Here is a 16,817-nt window from a genome sequence, read left to right as displayed (position 1 = left end):
AGTTGTGAATGTAGGACTGGGCACATAGTAAGCCCTCACTACATACTGCTTTCTGTGTCAGTCACCTGGTATCATCAGTGAGACAGATCCTCCCCCCATTGCCTTCGTTTTATGCTAAAAGCACAGAGGAGGTTGGGCTAGGGAACCTGTAGAGTCAAATACAAATAATTGCATTTTGCTCGGTTGGAAACCTACAGCCTAAAATTAAAGGCATTTGTAAGATAAATGTCTATCCATAGGGCATTTATAACAGGTATTTTGTTTACTTTCTTTGAGTTTACAGTCTAGTATGTGAGCAGAAAGGGTAATTCTTGGAAAGGAAAGGAAAAAACTACATAGATGAATAGGTAAAGAGCAAGATACAGAGACCCTCTTCTTCCCTCTGAATCTGTTTATCTTTGAGCCTGACAGCCCATCAGAGCTTATAGACACCACCAGGTGCTACCTGAGCCATAGAGCCTTTTCCATGTTTATCCCTCTCCCTGGAATATGTTCTAGCATATCAGTGCTTATCGTGAAATTTGGTGCCAGAATGGAACATAAGAGAGTAGAAAAAGCACTTACAGCTGATGCAATTGGTATGGTGGCTGGTGGGTTAATTGAAAAAGCCAATTAAAGAGACCCAAAGCAAATCAGATTCCTATCTTACACATTTTATTTGAATGTAAAGTATGTAAATACATGTCCATTTGCCAGTCTTTTTGAGTTGAGTGTCTGCTGAAGTAGAGTTCTGCCTCATCTTTCTCATATAAACCACACCCAAAGTGTGCTGGCTACAATGCCCAGTGTCAGTTTCTTTAAAATATCAATGGAATCTGACTGCAGAATCCATGTTTTCATGATTTTTTTTTCTAGTCTTTCTAGTCCCCTCACCCAACACACCCCTAATTCAGCCAGTTGTTACTTTTTAGTGATTGTTCTTTGCTGAGTCTATTCAAGGAATTCAACTTAGTTTTTTGAGAAACAACTTGTTTTTGCACTTATAGTTTATATGCTTTTAAATCATTTAAATTAAGACATGTAATTAGGATAATGGGTCTAACTTATATACAGCTTACCCCTGAAGTGCTCAGTTGGTGAGGTCAGAAGGGCATGAGCATCCTAGAAAGCAGCTGCTACCTGCGAGGACTTGACTTCTGTCAGGGTGGACTTGTATTTCTGCAAGTACAGCCTCAGGTAGAATGGCTTAGGGTATCATTACAGCCTCTGCAACCCCGCAGACTTTGTCATGAGGCTCTGGAGTCAGCTCTTCTCCACTCTCTGCCTGCGTATTCAATCTTTTGTTGAGTTAACCCCCATTTTATTTCATACTATTCGCTTCTGCCCATTTCCCCAGCCTGTCAAGACATTTCTGATCATGGATATATCATCCTTCATTCTGGGGATCTTCCAGCCTTGGCTTCCCTGAAGGCTTCATATGTATGGAGGCTCCTGACTGGTCTCAATGGCAAACAGACTGGATCAAGGACACAGTCCTTGGCGCGCTGCAGGAATCTCTCCACCAGTGCCTGACACTAACCCAAACCATTCTGCAGTGGATTCAGGTGGCCCTGTTGTTCCATCTTCCATTCCTCTATTGTATTTACATGAAAGGCTCGATGACACACTTTTCTGTAACTGAAACCTACTCTGGCCTGTAACCCTGTCTCATAATCCTGTGAATCCTGTGTAATAACACATTAGGTCTCACTTGTTCTTCATGAAGTTCTGCAGGTTTCTGGGGCTCAAGCTTTTGCTTTCAAAGGCTCCCAACCATCTCTTTAAGAATCCACTCTAGGATTTGCCAGGGAGTAACATCAATTTCTATGGTTTCTAGAATTCACAAGGGAGCCAATATTTGTTCTTTTTAAACCATCTGGCTTTTTTCTTCTATTGCCACAGTTTCTCCAAGATAATTACTTTGGTTCTGAGATCATAGTCTTTAGTGCCAAAGACAGCAGTTCTCTGCCTTTTTCCTGTGATAGGGATGATTTTCCTGTGAATAATCACTCCCATGAAAGGCCCAGGAATCAACACCCAAACCCCTCCCAGGCTGCATCTCCATCCTTTCCCACTGCAAAGCAAATCATAGCACAGGTGAGTAACGAGGAAGTCAGAATAGCCTCAGATCTACTTTAGCAGCGCCTTCAGTACTTTGACTTTTATCAAATTCTTGTGTGCCACTCACCTTGACAGTTACACACCTGTTTACAGAATAGTATGTATGGATGAGTGCCTTTTCCTTTAAAAAAAAAAAAAAAGTGATTCATCTCAGCTTGAGCTCATTTAAAATTTTCAAGTTTGCTTCAGAGGGCAAACTGCTAACATCTGTTAACAATTTGAAATGCCCACGCCCATCCATGACTCAGCAATTTCATACTTCATGTCCATCTCTTCTAAAGAAACAAATGCATGTGTTCACAAGAAGGCATAGACAAGGATATTATCTCAGCATTACTTGTAATATCAAAAAAGGTAATAATGTTCATGTCCATCAGTAGGGGAATGGTTAAACAAAGGATAATATATTCTTATTATAGATGAGGTCATTCTGTATAAGCTGACATGGAAGGAATTACAGGAAATGTTAAACGAGAAAATTAAGTTGCAGAATTGTCCTGTGATGGTTAATTTTATGTCAGCTTTGTTGGGCTATAGTACTCACTTACTTGATCAAACACCAATCTAGATGTTGCTATGAAAGTATTTTTAGATGTGATTAACATTCCACTCAGTAGAAGAGTAAAGCACATTACCCTTCCTAATGTGAGTGGACTTCAATCAGTTGAAGGCCTTAAGAAAAAAGATTGAGATCCCGGAAGAGGAAGGAATTCAGCCTGCAGACTCAAAACTGCAACATCGACTCCTGCTGGAATATCCAGCCTGCTGGGCTACCCTGCAAACTTTGGATTTTACATCCTCCACAGTCATGTAAGCCAGTTCCTCAAAATGAATCTTTCTAGATACAAGATAGCCTACTGATTCTCTTTCTCAGGAGAATCCTGATGAATCAGATACAAATGCTGTGATGCCATTAATGGGGAGAAAACTTCACAGTCTCTTAGACTTTAGCCAAATTTGTCTCCTTGTAGAAAAGCAAGTAAAATAGGAGTTGAATAATCCCATTTTTATTGTCTTGAACATACCCTTTTCTTGTGCAACTTCTTGCTTTGAGCATGATTTTAAATGGCGTATGTGTATACGTGTGCACACATGCACATACGTAGTTCACATACCTCATCTCATTCTAGGCTGAGGTGCATGTGTGTATACCTCACGCCACCTGCACACCTCAGCTCATTCCAGGCTCAACATTCCTCCTCTTTTGGGTTTGCCTTACTTTTGTCACCATCCCTGGAGGCTCAGGTACCCCCTTCTGTCCTTATAAATTCACACTCATCCATCTCTACAGCCACAGTGGTTTTCCTTAGTTGCCTCCAACTTTTATCTTAGGGTGACAAGTCCACCTGGAGCCAGCATGCCTGTATTTCTTGCCATGGGGCCATATTGAACTTTCCTCTGAGCCTCTGAAATTCTTTTTCTTCTTGTCTCTGGAGATGGCCGCTAGTACTCTTCTGCTGTTAGGAACGTCACAGAGAAAAGCTTAGTTTATACAGTTTGTGTTGCCCAGGTAAGTCATTTCCCTTCCCATAATGATGGGGAAGAGATTACATTTAGAAATAGTGACCCCAAAAGGCCATGATCTGATTATTGAGTCCTGACTTCTGATCTGAAACTTTGACCCTGTCCTTGGATAGTGGAGCCTGGGATGGCTGTCTGTCCCTCTTTTACCTCTTTTAGCCAGAATTTTCCCTCTGCCTCCTCCTTGGCAGCAGCCACTTGCTCGGGTGTTCTGAAATGTGTGTGGATTGTGGCAGTGGCAGGACACAGAGATGATGGGCTATTGGACCAAAACCAGTCCTCCTGCTTCCCAGTGGGGCAGGTGGGCTGGACTTAATCCATGAAAGAGTACATAAAAAATGAGAAAGAACCACTTGAGATGGTGATTAGGGGTTCCATAACAGAACCCTCAGGGAACTGGGAAACTCCATAGGCTCAAAGAGAGTGACTACTTTTTGATGCCCAGGAACAAGGATGCAAAGGGGCATTTGCTGAGGCCCCACACATCAAGGAGCCTCGGGAAGAAGACATCCTACAAAGGAAATGGGAAGGCATTCAAGGCTAATTGTGCCCTGCTGACCAGAAGTGCCCTGGGAGAGAGCAGAGACTGAACAAGGCCTCCTGGACACAGTGGGCTCCAGCTGGGTATTGGCAAGTCAAGCCAGGACTTGGATGGGCTAAGGGAATTGAGTGTGGGGGCTTCCTGCTGTGGGAAGTGACAGGAGCAGAGGCCAGCTGGAAGAGAAGGCACATCTATTAATTTTTTTTTATAATTAGAACACATATTGGATAATGTGGATGATCTCCTAGATGCCTTCAATAATAGATAATGTGGGTGATCTCCTAGACGCCTCTGATTATGGATAATGTCAGTGATCTAGATGCCTCGGCTTCCTTTTTACCATCATGCTTTCACCTCAAACAGGCAGCACTTGTGCCTCTTAGCAAAGCCCTGCTCCTGAGCTCCAGGAGCCTGCCCTGCTTTAAGCAACAAGAGCCACAAGTGCTCCGAGGTGGTCCTCGTCGATGACAGAGGAGTGTGGGTGTATGAAAGCCCTGCTCCCTGGCCTCAGATGGGGACAACTCTGAGCATAACTCACCCCTCAGAGCTCCCCACAGGATCAGACTGAGCCGCTGGTCACGGGATGTTCTTAAAATTGTGTCCTTCCTGGGCTGCTTCTACTCTGTTGTACGACTTCTCCCGCTCCCTCACTGGCAGCACATCCTTAATAAGTTACTTGCACGTGAATACTTGTTTTAGGGTCTCCTTATAGGGAACCTGACCTAAGAGCATGTGTAAAAAAGTCCCATTGAGGAATATTACATTGCAAATCGAGATAAAAGTTATTGGAGGCTTTATAATAATTTTAAACAAAATGCTTACAGTGCAAATGTGTATATAGTAAAGACTGAATCCTCCTCTCTCCTCTGACCCTCAATTCCCTAGTTCCCCTTTCACAGAGAAAGCTCCTTCCAGAGAGGAGGTGGTGTACACACAGAGGTGAGTGTGCACACAGAGGTGGGTATGCATCTGTGTAACAGAGAGGCAGAGGGAGATTTTATACACATAGAGGTGAAGGCAGAGTAGAGAGTTGAAAATGCTTTGAAGATTGGAGTAGTGAGGCCACAAGACAAGAAATGCCAGCAGCCACTAGTGCTGGAAAAAAACAATGAGCGGATTCTCCCCCTAGCCTCCAAAAGGAGCATGGGCCTGTTATAACCTTGACTTTTGACCCAGTGATACTGATTTTGAACTTCTGGCTTCCAGAACTGTGAGAAATTTCTATTGTTGTAATCCACCAATTTTGTGGTCATTTGTTATAGCCCCCCCTAGAAAATGGATATAACATGCATGGACGTCTCTCCAGGGTTGCCCTGTAGGGTGTCCTTGACAGTATGTTTGCATGTGAAAAGTCTGGGGAAGACCGTGTGGGTGAGGCAAGGGCCTGGATTTTTGCAATGGGTTGAAGGGAGCCATAGTGGGATTTTCATCAGAGAGCTGTACACTGGGACAATTGGCCCTGGAGAAAGGGCCAGAATGGGGGAAAGGCCAACAGAAGCCCAGGGAAATAGAATAAGGGTGGTGGTCATGGGTATCAGTTGGGTTGCTTTCCACCGTTCATAGCAGGAAATCCAACTAAAAGTGGCTTAAGCCGTAGGGGTGTTCATCTCATCTCATTGAGCAGGAAGTCTAGAGCAAGGTGGGGAGGTTGCAGAGTCAGCTTTGTCAACAGCTTAAAGATGCCACCAGGGATCCAGATGTTGCCATCTTTCTGTACTCATCCTCAGCCTGTCTGCAGGGCTCTCCTTATGATCCTCCTCACAAGGTGACTGTGGCAATTCTAGGTGTCTCATGCAAATGTGATGACAACCGTGAAGAACGGGGCAGTTTTTTCCTGCCACACGTCCCTTTTTATTAGCAAGTAAAAGCTTTCCCAGAAACCCACAACAGAGATTTCCTCAGGTCTCATTGGCCAGGACTGAGTCACAGACCCATGCCACTTGTCAAGAGTCATGGTTGTCCAGGCCTGGGGGGTGTCAGTGAGGAAGAAGCCCTGGGCCATCGAGGGGCTGTTGGCTTTGGCAGCCAACAGAATGTGCCACTGAGGGGGACTAGCAAGGCAGGATGCTCCTAGAGGTATTTTCAAGAAGACTGGACTTGTTGACGGTTTGGATAATGAGATGACAAAAGGAAGTATTTGACCTTTAATCTTTATCTGCACTTTTTTCTTCCATAAACTCAATTGTCCTATTTTCTCAGACAGCCATATTTCACTTCATATACAAAATTTAGTGATACAAGTAAGTTATATCTTTTTAAAAATTTATCCAACAAATAAATATTGAGTTCCTACTGTGTGTCAGCCACTGTGAGAGCATGATGAATGGATGAAATTCAGGCAGGAAGGATTGATTCCATTTAGTCAAGGGAAGGTGTGTAGTCATTAAAAATGAATGTGCACCCCCTGGCCTTTCCACATTCATCAATAATTCCTCTTCATTGTCAAGCTTCCTGAGGGGTGCTGGAAGACCCTAAATCATAGGAACCTTTTCAATCTGACGAGGGGAGAGGCAAGTATGCCGTTCTGGTGAAGATCATGGGGCAAAGTGAATTTTGATTCTTGCTGCAGAGGAAGAGAGGATGAAACAAATGATCACGTTTTCAAAATCCTGTGACAAATGCGGTTTAAAATATTCAGTGTATGCCACAGAACAACAAGAAAGAAGTGTATTAGGGTTCTCCAGTAAAACAGAACCAGTAGGAGATTATACACATACACATGCACATGTGCGCGTGCGCGCACGCGCGCGCGCACACACACACACACACACACACACACACAGAGATTTATTATAAGGTTTTGGCTCATGTGATTATGGAGGCTGAGGAGTCCCACAGTCTGCTATCTGCAAGCTGGAGACCCAGGAAAGCCAGTGGTATGGTTCAGAGGCCTGAGAGCTAGCAGCTGATGGTGTGGACTCCAGTCCAGGTCCCAAGCCCTGAGAACCAGGAGCAACAAGGGCAGAAGATGGACGTTCCTGTTCAAGCAGTCAGGCGGTGTTAATTCAGCCTTCCTCCACCCTTTGTTCTGTTCAGGTCCTCAATGACTGGATGGTGTCCACCCACACTGGGGAGGGCCATCTGGTCTACTCAGTTGACCCATTCAAATGCTAATCTTTTCCAGAAACACCCTCACAACATGCCCAAAAATAATGTTTATGCATCCTGTGGCAAGTTAAGGGCTCAATGTGATAACAGGGGCTATATCTTTAGGTTTTCCCAATGTGTTTGAGATAAAAAAGTGGGAGATAATTCTATAACAGCTTTAAACACACACACACACACACACACACACACACACACACAACCACCTACTTATTATCTTACAGTTTCTGTGGGCCAGAAATCCAGGTGGGCTGAACTGGGTCGTCTGCTGCTTAGGGTCTCAAAACACTGAAATGGGATGTCAGCAGAGCTGTGTGCCTTATTAGAGGTTTTGGTGGGGAAGAATCCACTTCCAAGCTCACTTAGGTTGTTGGCCTTGTGGTTGCAGGTCTGAGGTCCTTGTTTTCTTGCAGGCAGTTATCCAGGAGCTGGTCCTTGCTCCTGGGGGCTGCCCCCATTTCTTATGCTTTCCATGTGGCCCCCTAAAAGAGCTTAAAATGCATAGTTTGAGAGCCACAGATGAAGAGAGGGCAAATGGTTCTCCAGAGAGAACTGAAGTATATTAAATCAGTGAGCATAAAAGGTTGGGGGGTGTTCTTGTAGTTATGTGTTCACTCACTACCACTCCTTGAAATATGTTCTTTGAAATTCACCTGGCCAAGGCTTTTAATACAACTAAATAAAAAGGAAGGGCCTATGGGTGGTGTATAACTGATTGAGAGGCCGCACTTGGCAACGATGTGCTTTCATTGGGAGGAGGTCTGTCTTCATGAGCTTTCTGATGCCATCCTGTGCCTTGGCCTGTTTCACATCTTTTTCAGGGGCTTGTGCAGTGATCTAGAAGGTGGTGGACCTGAAGAGACCTGATTCTGGGAGGCCACAGAATACCTTGGGTGGCCCTTGGGATCTAAGAATAAGAACATGGATGCTCTTGGGCTCCACATAAAGCATTCTAGTTGGGCGAGGGGGAAGAAGGCCAGGGCAGGTCTGAGAGTGGGGAAGACTCTGGACCACCCACCCATGCCAGTGTCAACCAGAGCCGCCTTTTCTGAATGTATCTGTTTTTACATGTTGTTTCTAAATTAGATTATAGTTGATGCCTATAGGAAGCATCCTACTAATTAAAAAAAAAAAACCTTGAAAATTACTGATCTAATCCACTTTCTTTTTTGAGTAGGTTTCCCTGACTTCTTAAACCCCTTCCAATCTGTTACTTCTTAGTATATGAATGTTGGACAAAAACCAGCCCAATAAAATGTAATAGGAATACATTTAAGTATCAACAAATTGTATTTAAGCTCCAAAAAGTCAATAATATAGAATGAAGCATACCTGATTTGACAGCAATTCCAATGAAAAAGAGTTAATACAGGCCAAGAATGTCTCTACTGCTTCCCTCCAAGTGCTCTGGGCTGTGACCCAGTGAACATTTCCAGATCACAGCCCATGTTTCTTTCTGGTTGCTCACTCTCTGCTGAGACCCTGCTCCACCTCAGATCTTCACTTTTGAGGCAGTTGCTCGTCATTTCCAGCCCAACCCTAATGCCACCAGCTTTGTGGGGCCATCTATAAGACTATCAGCTGGCTTTGCTCTCCCCTCCTTTTGAAACAACCACATTTCACCTTACCTAGGAATTACTGAAGTTATCAAATTGCTATGCAAACTCCTTGAGTCAGGGACCAGCCATTCCTTATATTCATGGTTTCTGGATCCACATTAGTTCCTTTTGTGTTGCAGGTTTTTAACAAACATTGATTGAATAAATAATTGGATAATATGAGGTTAGCACTGCTTAGAACAGATATCTTTGACCAAATTTATGAAAACACATGCATGAAGGACTTCTCCCTGTTTTCTTCAGTCCAGTGCTGGCTGACTTAGAGTCTTAGGTTCCACCATGACCACCATATTTGATGAGAAACATCAGCAGACTCTAGGGTACAGGTGAAAGTGACAGTGATGCGGGAGACACCTGGAAATGGTGGGAAACAATTGGACATGTTTATCTTGGAGGAGGAAAAAACAAGGGTAATCAGGTAGCTGGCTTCCTCATATCTTTGAAGGGCTGACTTATGAGGAAGGAAGTAGACTGTTTTTGTTGATTGTAAGGGAAAAACTAGGTCTAATTGGAGAGTGTATGTGGAACTCTTTAGCAGAGGAAGTGGCTGGGGCCTAGGACTGTCAACTCCCAGATGCTGGTGTGACTTGGATGTTCCATTACCACTAATTAGGAGTGATGTTTTAGGCAGGAAGGACTAGCGCAGTGGTTCCCAAACCTTGCTAGTCCTCAGAATCACCTGAGGACTTATTAAAAATTCACATTCTGGCTGGCTGGCTTATGCCTGTAATCCCAGCTCTTTGGGAGGCTGAAGTGGGAGGACTGTTTAAGCCCAGGAGTTCAAAACCAGCCTGGGCAACATAGTGAGACCTTGTCTCTCTACATTAAAAAAATAAAAATTAGCTGGGCATGGTGGTGTGTGCCTGTATTCCCAGCGACTCAGAGGGGCTGTAGTGGGAGGCTCACTTGAGCCTGGGAGGTTGAGGCTGCAGTGAGCTGAGATCGAGACTCAAAGTCAGTGGGTCTTCGGGGTGGAGATTAGGGAACTGCATGTAAAAAATTCAGCCAGGCCTAGCAGCCACTGGACTAGAGGTCCACCCTGACCCCTTCCAACTTGAATAAGCTGGGCATGCATGTTGACACAGAGCTTTTAAATCAGTGGCCTCTTTAAACATCCTTTTCGGGTGAAGTGGCAAATTAGGCTTGGCAAATTAGACTTAAGAAGGCTTGAGAACTAGTCTAGTGAGGCCAAGAGGCCTCTGCTTTCATTCTTATAACTTTTTTTATTTTTATAAAAGTGATCCATGGACACTTTCCCAAAATGTTAAACATAGTTACCATATGACCCAGCAATTCCACCCCTATATTTAAGAGAAATGAAAACATATGTCCACATAAAGACCTATGTACATTAATGTTGATGGCAGCTTTATTTGTAATGTCCAAAAAGTAGAAACAACTTAAATGTTCATCAAATGATGAATAAACTATGGTATATCCATATGATGGAATATTATTTTGCAATAAAAAGGAATAAACTACTGATATATGCTACATGTATGAACCTTGAACATATGCTAAAGTGAAAGAAGCCAGTTGCAAAAGACCACATATTATATGAATCCATTTATATGAAATATCCAGGTGAGGCAAGTGCATAGAGACAAAAAGTGGACTCGTGGTTGCCTCGGGGTGGGTGGGGGGAAAGGGGAGTGACTGCTAATAGGTACAGGGTATTGGTGTGGGGGGTGATGAAAGTGGTCTAAACTTAGATTGTGGTGATGGTTGTATAACTCTGAATATATTATAAACCACTGAATTGTTTGCTTTAAATAGGTGAATTTTAAGATATCCAATTATATATCAATAAAGATGTTGAAAAAAGTGACAAGTGGTCATTAAAGATAATTTAGAAAATACAGGTCAAGAAAAGAAAGCAAAGTAAACCCCAACTTTCAGCATCACTAGAAGGTAGCTGCATAGCATCTTAGGATAATCCTTCCTGTGTATATTCTATCTATATTTGCATATTTTTTACAAAAATGGTATCATACTCTTCAAACTGTTATACATTTTTGTATGTAACTGTATGCTGAAAATGTTTCTGTTATTAGGCTTTTACTTCATTATTTGTAATGGCCATAGAGTACTTCAATCTATGAAAAATTTTAATTTATTTAATTAGTTTTCCATTGGTGGGTTTTTGCTGACTTCAATTTTCTTGCTCTTGTATAGTAATTCATGTCAGTTTTGATTCAAGGTCCTTACTTTTTTTTAGAAAAATAAACTTTATATTTTAGAGTAGTTTTAGGTTCATAGCAAAACTGAACTGAATCTACAGAGTTCCCATACAGTATGTAGCCTTTTCCAGTTGGCTTCTTTCACTTAGTAATATGGATTTAAGGCTCCTCCATCTCTTGAGAGCTCATTGCTTTTTAGTGCTGGATAATATTTCATTGTATGGTTCCACTGCAGTTTCTCTGTCAGTTACTGAAGGGCATCTTGGTTGCTTCCAAGTTTTAGCAATTATGAATAAAGCTGCTATAAACAGCCATGTGTAGGTTTCTGTGTGGACAAAAGTTTTCAGCTTATTTGGGTAAATACCAAGGAGTATGATTGCTGGATCATATTGTAAAGTATGTCTAGTTTTGTAAGAAACTGCCAAACTGTCTTCTGTAGTGGCTGTACTATTTTGCGTCCCCACCACAGTGAACGAGAGTTGCTGTTGTTCCACATCCTCACCGGCATTAAGTATTGTCAGTGTTTTGGATCTTGGCCATTCTAATGTGGTCATTCTAAGGTGGACTGTCTTATTTGCATTTCCCTAATGACATATGATGTTGAGCATCTTTTTATATGCTTATTATTTGCTACCTGCATATCTTCTTTGGTGAGGTATTTGTTTAGAACTTTTGCCCATTTTTAAATTGGGTTGTTTGTTGTCTTATTGTTTAGTCTTATGAATTCTTTGTATATTTTGGATAAAAGTCCTTTATCAGATATGGCTTTTGCAGATATTTCTCCTAGTCTTTGACTTGTCTTCTCATTCTCTTGAGGGCCTTACTTTTTGAAACTAGGGAATTTTTATCCCACGGAAACAAATTTCACCTTTGACTTCACCTTGAAAATTCTTGATGTTGTTCAGAAACGGTTTGGACAAGAAGGTGAGGGGTAGGGATTAGCACAAAAGCATTATTCTATTTAAAATCTATAACTGCAGAGTTACCTTCCTGTATAAAGACAAGGTAACTTTGAAAGAAGCAGAAACACTCATCTCCATTAAATGTTTGTTGGATGTTTTGTTTTTCAGTCTCTATCAGTTGGCTTCTGCTGTGTAACTAACCATTCCAAACTTAGTGGCTTCAAATAACCATGTATTAGCTCATGATTCTTTAGGTCATCTGATCAATTTTTCAGCCATAGGGCAACCTTGCTGATCTCTGCTGGGCTCTCTCATATGTCAGCTGGTAGCTGAATGATCTAGAGTGGCCTCATTCATATGTCTGGCAGTTGGCTAGAACAGAGCCTTGTGTATCTTAACATTCAGTAAGCTAACCTGAACCTCTTCACAGGATGGCAGCCACAGGATTCCCAAAAGCAGCAAGTGGGCAAGCCCCAATGTGCTAGCTTATTTCATGCTGCGGTTTGCATCATATTTGTTAATGTACTATTGGCCAAAGAAAGTCACAAAACCAGCTCAGAGTCAAGAGATGGAGAAACAGGCACTACCTCCTGATAGGACCCTCTGTAATGCGTGGCAATGGAACAGAAACAGGGAAGAAACAAGTTTGTGTGTGGCTAGCTAAATAATGGCCTTGTGCTTTATGGCCAGTACATGACTGTGTCTAATTTTCATACGTGAATATACTTCCAACTTCCACATGCAAAATACCCATAAAAATGGTAACACAGCATCCTGGCAAATTAATTCACATTTTTGGTGGCAAACTCATGTCTCATTTTAGGCATGATTTACAGCAATTTTGATAAGACTTTGAGAGTACAAGACAATGGTGGCAGAACCTACCCACAAAATGCTAGGACAGGTGCATTTATTCACTCACTCAACAACTAATTATCGAACAAATACTTCCTTAAGTGCCTGGGATTCATCAAGAACAAGATAAACTCCTTGCCTTTGTGGAGTTTGTGTTCTAGTGCAGGGGCAGAAAAACGAAGCACCAAGTCATGATCAATATGTGGAAATGGTAGGACAGGGAAGAGTGATGGGAGAATTTTCTAGAGGACCCCAAATAGGATTGGCCAGTCTCTCTGAGACCATTTTCATTTTCTGGACTTTGGGTTTTTCATCATTGGTTTGTCCCGTGGTAGGTCTCAGTGCAGATGCTGATGGGGACCCGGCAGCGCATCTGTTATGGCTCTGGTGGATTTGTCTCTGGTAGAGCAGGGAGCCAGATAGAATGGGAGGTGGACTGCAGGACTTGTAACATTGGACTAATGAACAGCCAGATGTCTGATGTGTCCTGAAGGCAGGATATTCCAGCTGGAGGTTTCTGGCACCTCAGAAGCCCTATCAGAGCTGGGTCCTCAAAGAGCATGCTGTGGGATTAGTGCAATGCAATTTGGTTTAAATAAGAGCAGAGCATAAGGAGGGAGGGCTGAGTGAGAATTGTGGTAGCCATAGCAACATGATACTGACAGTTGAGTCACCACAAAGAGAATATTGGCCAACTGTGATTGCTCCAGCATGGCTTGAGAATGTGGCACCTTTGAAGTTACCAGGCAGAGAAAGTTAGGGAGAGAGAAATCCCATGTCTTACCCAATCCCTTCCTTAGTGAGTCAAGACTGTGACAGCCCAGCACATGGTGTGTTGTGTGGCTCTGTTCGTTGTTAGCTAGGACAGTGAAATAATCTTTAATCTCCATTTCCCTGTCTCTTAAGGTTTTGAACCAACCTTTATTCAGAGACCTCTTCTGGGTTTGCATTTTATGATTATCAGTAAGCTGTTAGGAATCCACTGCTGACAGGTGGAGGGGACAACGTTGACAGTTTTGGGTTCTAGAATTCCTGCAGACAGACTGGCTCTCTCCCCAGGTCCCCAACTCCAAAATAAACAACTTTTTAATTATACACTTTGGAAAAGCTCCTTTTTTCAATCCCTTTTCTCTTTTCTAGGTAATACATAAGGTGAAAAATCAGAAAGAAGGGCTAAAGATATGATATAGGATCCCTCATTCATCTCTGATAGTCTAAAGAGAGTAATAAAGTAGCAAGTCCCATTTACTCCCAGAAAGCCTAGTTTTCTCTCTCATCAAAGCCAGTAGGAGGGACCTGGCAAGTCTCTGGATGGAGAAAATGTTTCTTTTTTAATTGTTATCAAACAAAGCTATTTCTAAGTTGGCCTGGGAGGACCCCCTCACCCTGAAGCACTCAATGTGTGTTTAAGATGTCAGCTTCTAGAGGACAGGAGCCCTGTGCTATTGCATACGTGGTCCCGATGAGCAGCTGACAGGATGTGGCAGCTTTGTGTTGCTTAACCACAGTCAGAACTGCAGTGCCTGTCCCTGCTACGGGTCAGAGTTGGCCCCAGCCATCGCCCCTTAGCCGCCGCATGTCCGGCCTCATTACCTTCCCTGTGATCAGGAGCCTTGCGTGGTTGCATGCCTTGCCTGGTTCTCATTCTGCTCATGCAGGTGTGTGTGGGCAGACACCCCTGATAATAAGGATGCATGCCATCTCCTGCCCTTCCATCCCGTAGCCCCTTTCTTCTTTCTGCCTTCCAAGTAACTGACGTTAGAGAAACCGCATGTACCAGGACCAGATCACCCAGCGTGTCCCAGAATCCAGGAGAATGTTATCTTGCACATGCAGGTTTGGTTTTCTTGCCAGCTTGGCATGGTGCTTTAGGAGAAGCCAGGGCAACATCTCGAGCTAGGACGATCTACCCAGTGTGGGTTTTTATCTCTCTCTTCCAGGGCAAGCTGGTGGCACTGCTGGGCCTCACAGTAGGTTATCATAAATTAGACTTCAGGGCTCCAGAGGTAATGCAAGGCCAAAGTGTCCGGCCTGGAGCAAATAAGGGCTAGGTGTGCCAGCCTTGAGTGTGGTGACAAATTAGGAACACTCCCCTTCAGCAGTAACTATATCATTGTATTTCTCTCAAATCAAATGAGGTGACTTTCTTTTCTTTTTTTTTTTTTTTTTGAGATGGAGTCTCGCTCTGTCGCCAGGCTGGAGTGCAGTGGCGCAATCTGGGCTCACTGCAACCTCCGCCTCCTGGGTTCAAGCGATTCTCCTGCCTCAGCCTCCCGAGTAGCTGGGACTACAGGCGCCTGCCACCATGCTTGGCTAATTTTTGTATTTTTAGTAGAGACGAGGTTTCACCATGTTGGCCAGGGTGGTCTCGATCTCCTGACCTCATGATCCACCCACCTCTGCCTCCCAAAGTGCAGAGATTACAGGCGTGAGCCACTGAGCCCGGCCACAAATCAATGAGGTGACTTTCATTACAATTTTCCTCCTAGAGGTTTGCCTGGTATTTGGTTCTTAGAATAATAGTAATAATAGTAATACACCAGTTAGCTTCTGCTGTGTAATAAAGCTCCCCAAAGCTTAGTGAGTTAAAATCATAACCCAAACAGGTCAGCTGGGTGATTTTTCCTTCAACTTTTAGGAAATCGACTAATCTCAGCATGTGCCTGCAGGCGCTGATGGGTGGACCACAGCTAGCAGCTCCAAGATGGCATCTCTCACGTCTGCTGCTTAGCAGGGCCACAGGTCTCTCATCATCCGAAGGCTAGCCTGGGCCTGTCCTCATGGCGTAGGCAGGGTTCCTGGAGAGTGAGCAGAAACAGCAAGGCTCCTTGAGGCCTAGGTTCAGGATGACCGTAATGTCACATCTGCCATATCCTATTTGTCAGAGCAAGTCCCAAGACCAGCCAAGATTCAAGGGGTGACCAGAGGGACTCTCCCTCTTATGGGAGGAGCTGCCGAGCTGTGTTGGAAAGTGGCCTGGACACAGGGAAGTCATAATAGACACCATTCTTCCAAACAATATGTTTCATGTAATAATAACAATTATTATTTTTTATTTCGTTGAGCTCCTAAAAGGCTACTGAGTTTGCTGCCTTTCTTACCTGGTAGAGAAAATGAGACAAAGATGTGAATTCACCAGCACTGGGTGGGTAAAGAGTCTCAGAACTGAAGCTTTTTATGCACTACATGTATTTTCCTCTGACCCTTTTCTGCATCTAAGAACTAAGCTTTTTTAAAAAAAAAAAATTATTCTCTTTGAACATTATGAAAGCCTAAGTTGTCTAAAATGAGAAGACTGCTCTCTCAGACTCTATTATGTTGTCCTGATTACATATCAGCAAAATGTTTTTCTGGGGCATTGTGCATAAAACAAAGGAGAAAACAACATCTCTAGCCGGCCAGCGTGCCTGTCCCTCCCTCCCGCAGAGGCCTGGGAGGCTGAGGGTGAGGAAGGCCAGCTGTGCTGGCTGCAGAGGGCTTTGCTGTTTCTCCACAGAGCAGCAGGTCGCCCCTTCCCTTCTCCCTCCCTCCACCTCACCTCCATGGGCTCCACTGGATGGGAACCATGTGCTTGTTCTCCCCACCCCTAGACTGGGATCTCCTGGGGCAGAAGAGGCTTCCCAAGTGGCACAGACAGAGCCAGGCTGACTGAATGTGAGATTCATGAATGAACAGTGATACCAGGCATAGCCCTGCCCTTTAGCATCCTGAGGGCCACGTGGAGTTTTCTGCAACACTGCCCGCCGTGTTCCAGCATCTGCCTTCCACTTGCTAGGGAGAGGTAGAGGTGAAGTGGCCCTTCTTTCTGTCTTGGCATTCCTGTCCACCCTGCCTCTAGATCTCCACTTTCCATGGCCGTAGGAGAACAGGACCTCTACCCTCCTCGAGTGCCGCTATAGCCAGCGTGTGCTGAGCAGGGCCCAGGCAGCCCTGAGAAGGCGCCAGCATGCTCTGCCTCCTCTGCACTAGCAGCTGCCACCAGTCCTTGCTGTCG

At 43.9% G+C, this 16,817-nt stretch overlaps 2 protein-coding genes across 18 annotated transcripts in view, besides 2 other annotated features; one reads left to right on the top strand and one right to left on the bottom strand.

The window, feature by feature from the left end:
• RFTN1 (raftlin, lipid raft linker 1) overlaps positions 1-16,817 on the top strand; it is a 197,855-nt gene that overhangs the window by 160,967 nt on the left and 20,071 nt on the right. The window lies entirely within an intron of this gene.
• OXNAD1 (oxidoreductase NAD binding domain containing 1) overlaps positions 638-16,817 on the bottom strand; it is an 86,884-nt gene continuing 70,704 nt past the window's right edge. For 4 of the 8 annotated variants that reach the window (NR_148220.2, NM_001330671.3, NM_001352983.2 and 1 more), the window contains one exon: positions 12,838-15,621. The gene's annotated coding sequence lies outside the window, so the exon portion shown is untranslated. Of the gene's footprint in view, positions 3,558-6,293; positions 6,726-7,489; positions 7,759-12,837; positions 15,622-16,817 lie in introns of those variants that run through there. The other 4 variants (XM_011534230.4, NM_001352982.2, NR_199631.1 and 1 more) reach the window with 3 other exon arrangements.
• Positions 14,376-14,435: a silencer, noted in NCBI's record as "silent region_14115". NCBI's record gives its function as "represses an Ori minimal core promoter by ATAC-STARR-seq in GM12878 lymphoblastoid cells {active_cell/tissue: GM12878}" and the evidence as "EXISTENCE:reporter gene assay evidence [ECO:0000049][PMID:35858748]".
• Positions 16,018-16,517: an enhancer, noted in NCBI's record as "H3K27ac hESC enhancer chr3:16377723-16378222 (GRCh37/hg19 assembly coordinates)". NCBI's record gives its function as "activates a minimal SCP1, AML or CMV promoter by ChIP-STARR-seq in primed H9 embryonic stem cells {active_cell/tissue: H9 hESC(primed)}" and the evidence as "EXISTENCE:reporter gene assay evidence [ECO:0000049][PMID:30033119]".

This window comes from Homo sapiens, chromosome 3 (genome assembly GCF_000001405.40).
Source record: "Homo sapiens chromosome 3, GRCh38.p14 Primary Assembly".
Lineage (NCBI taxonomy): Eukaryota > Metazoa > Chordata > Mammalia > Primates > Hominidae > Homo > Homo sapiens.
This window is presented reverse-complemented; position numbering and strand designations above follow the sequence as displayed.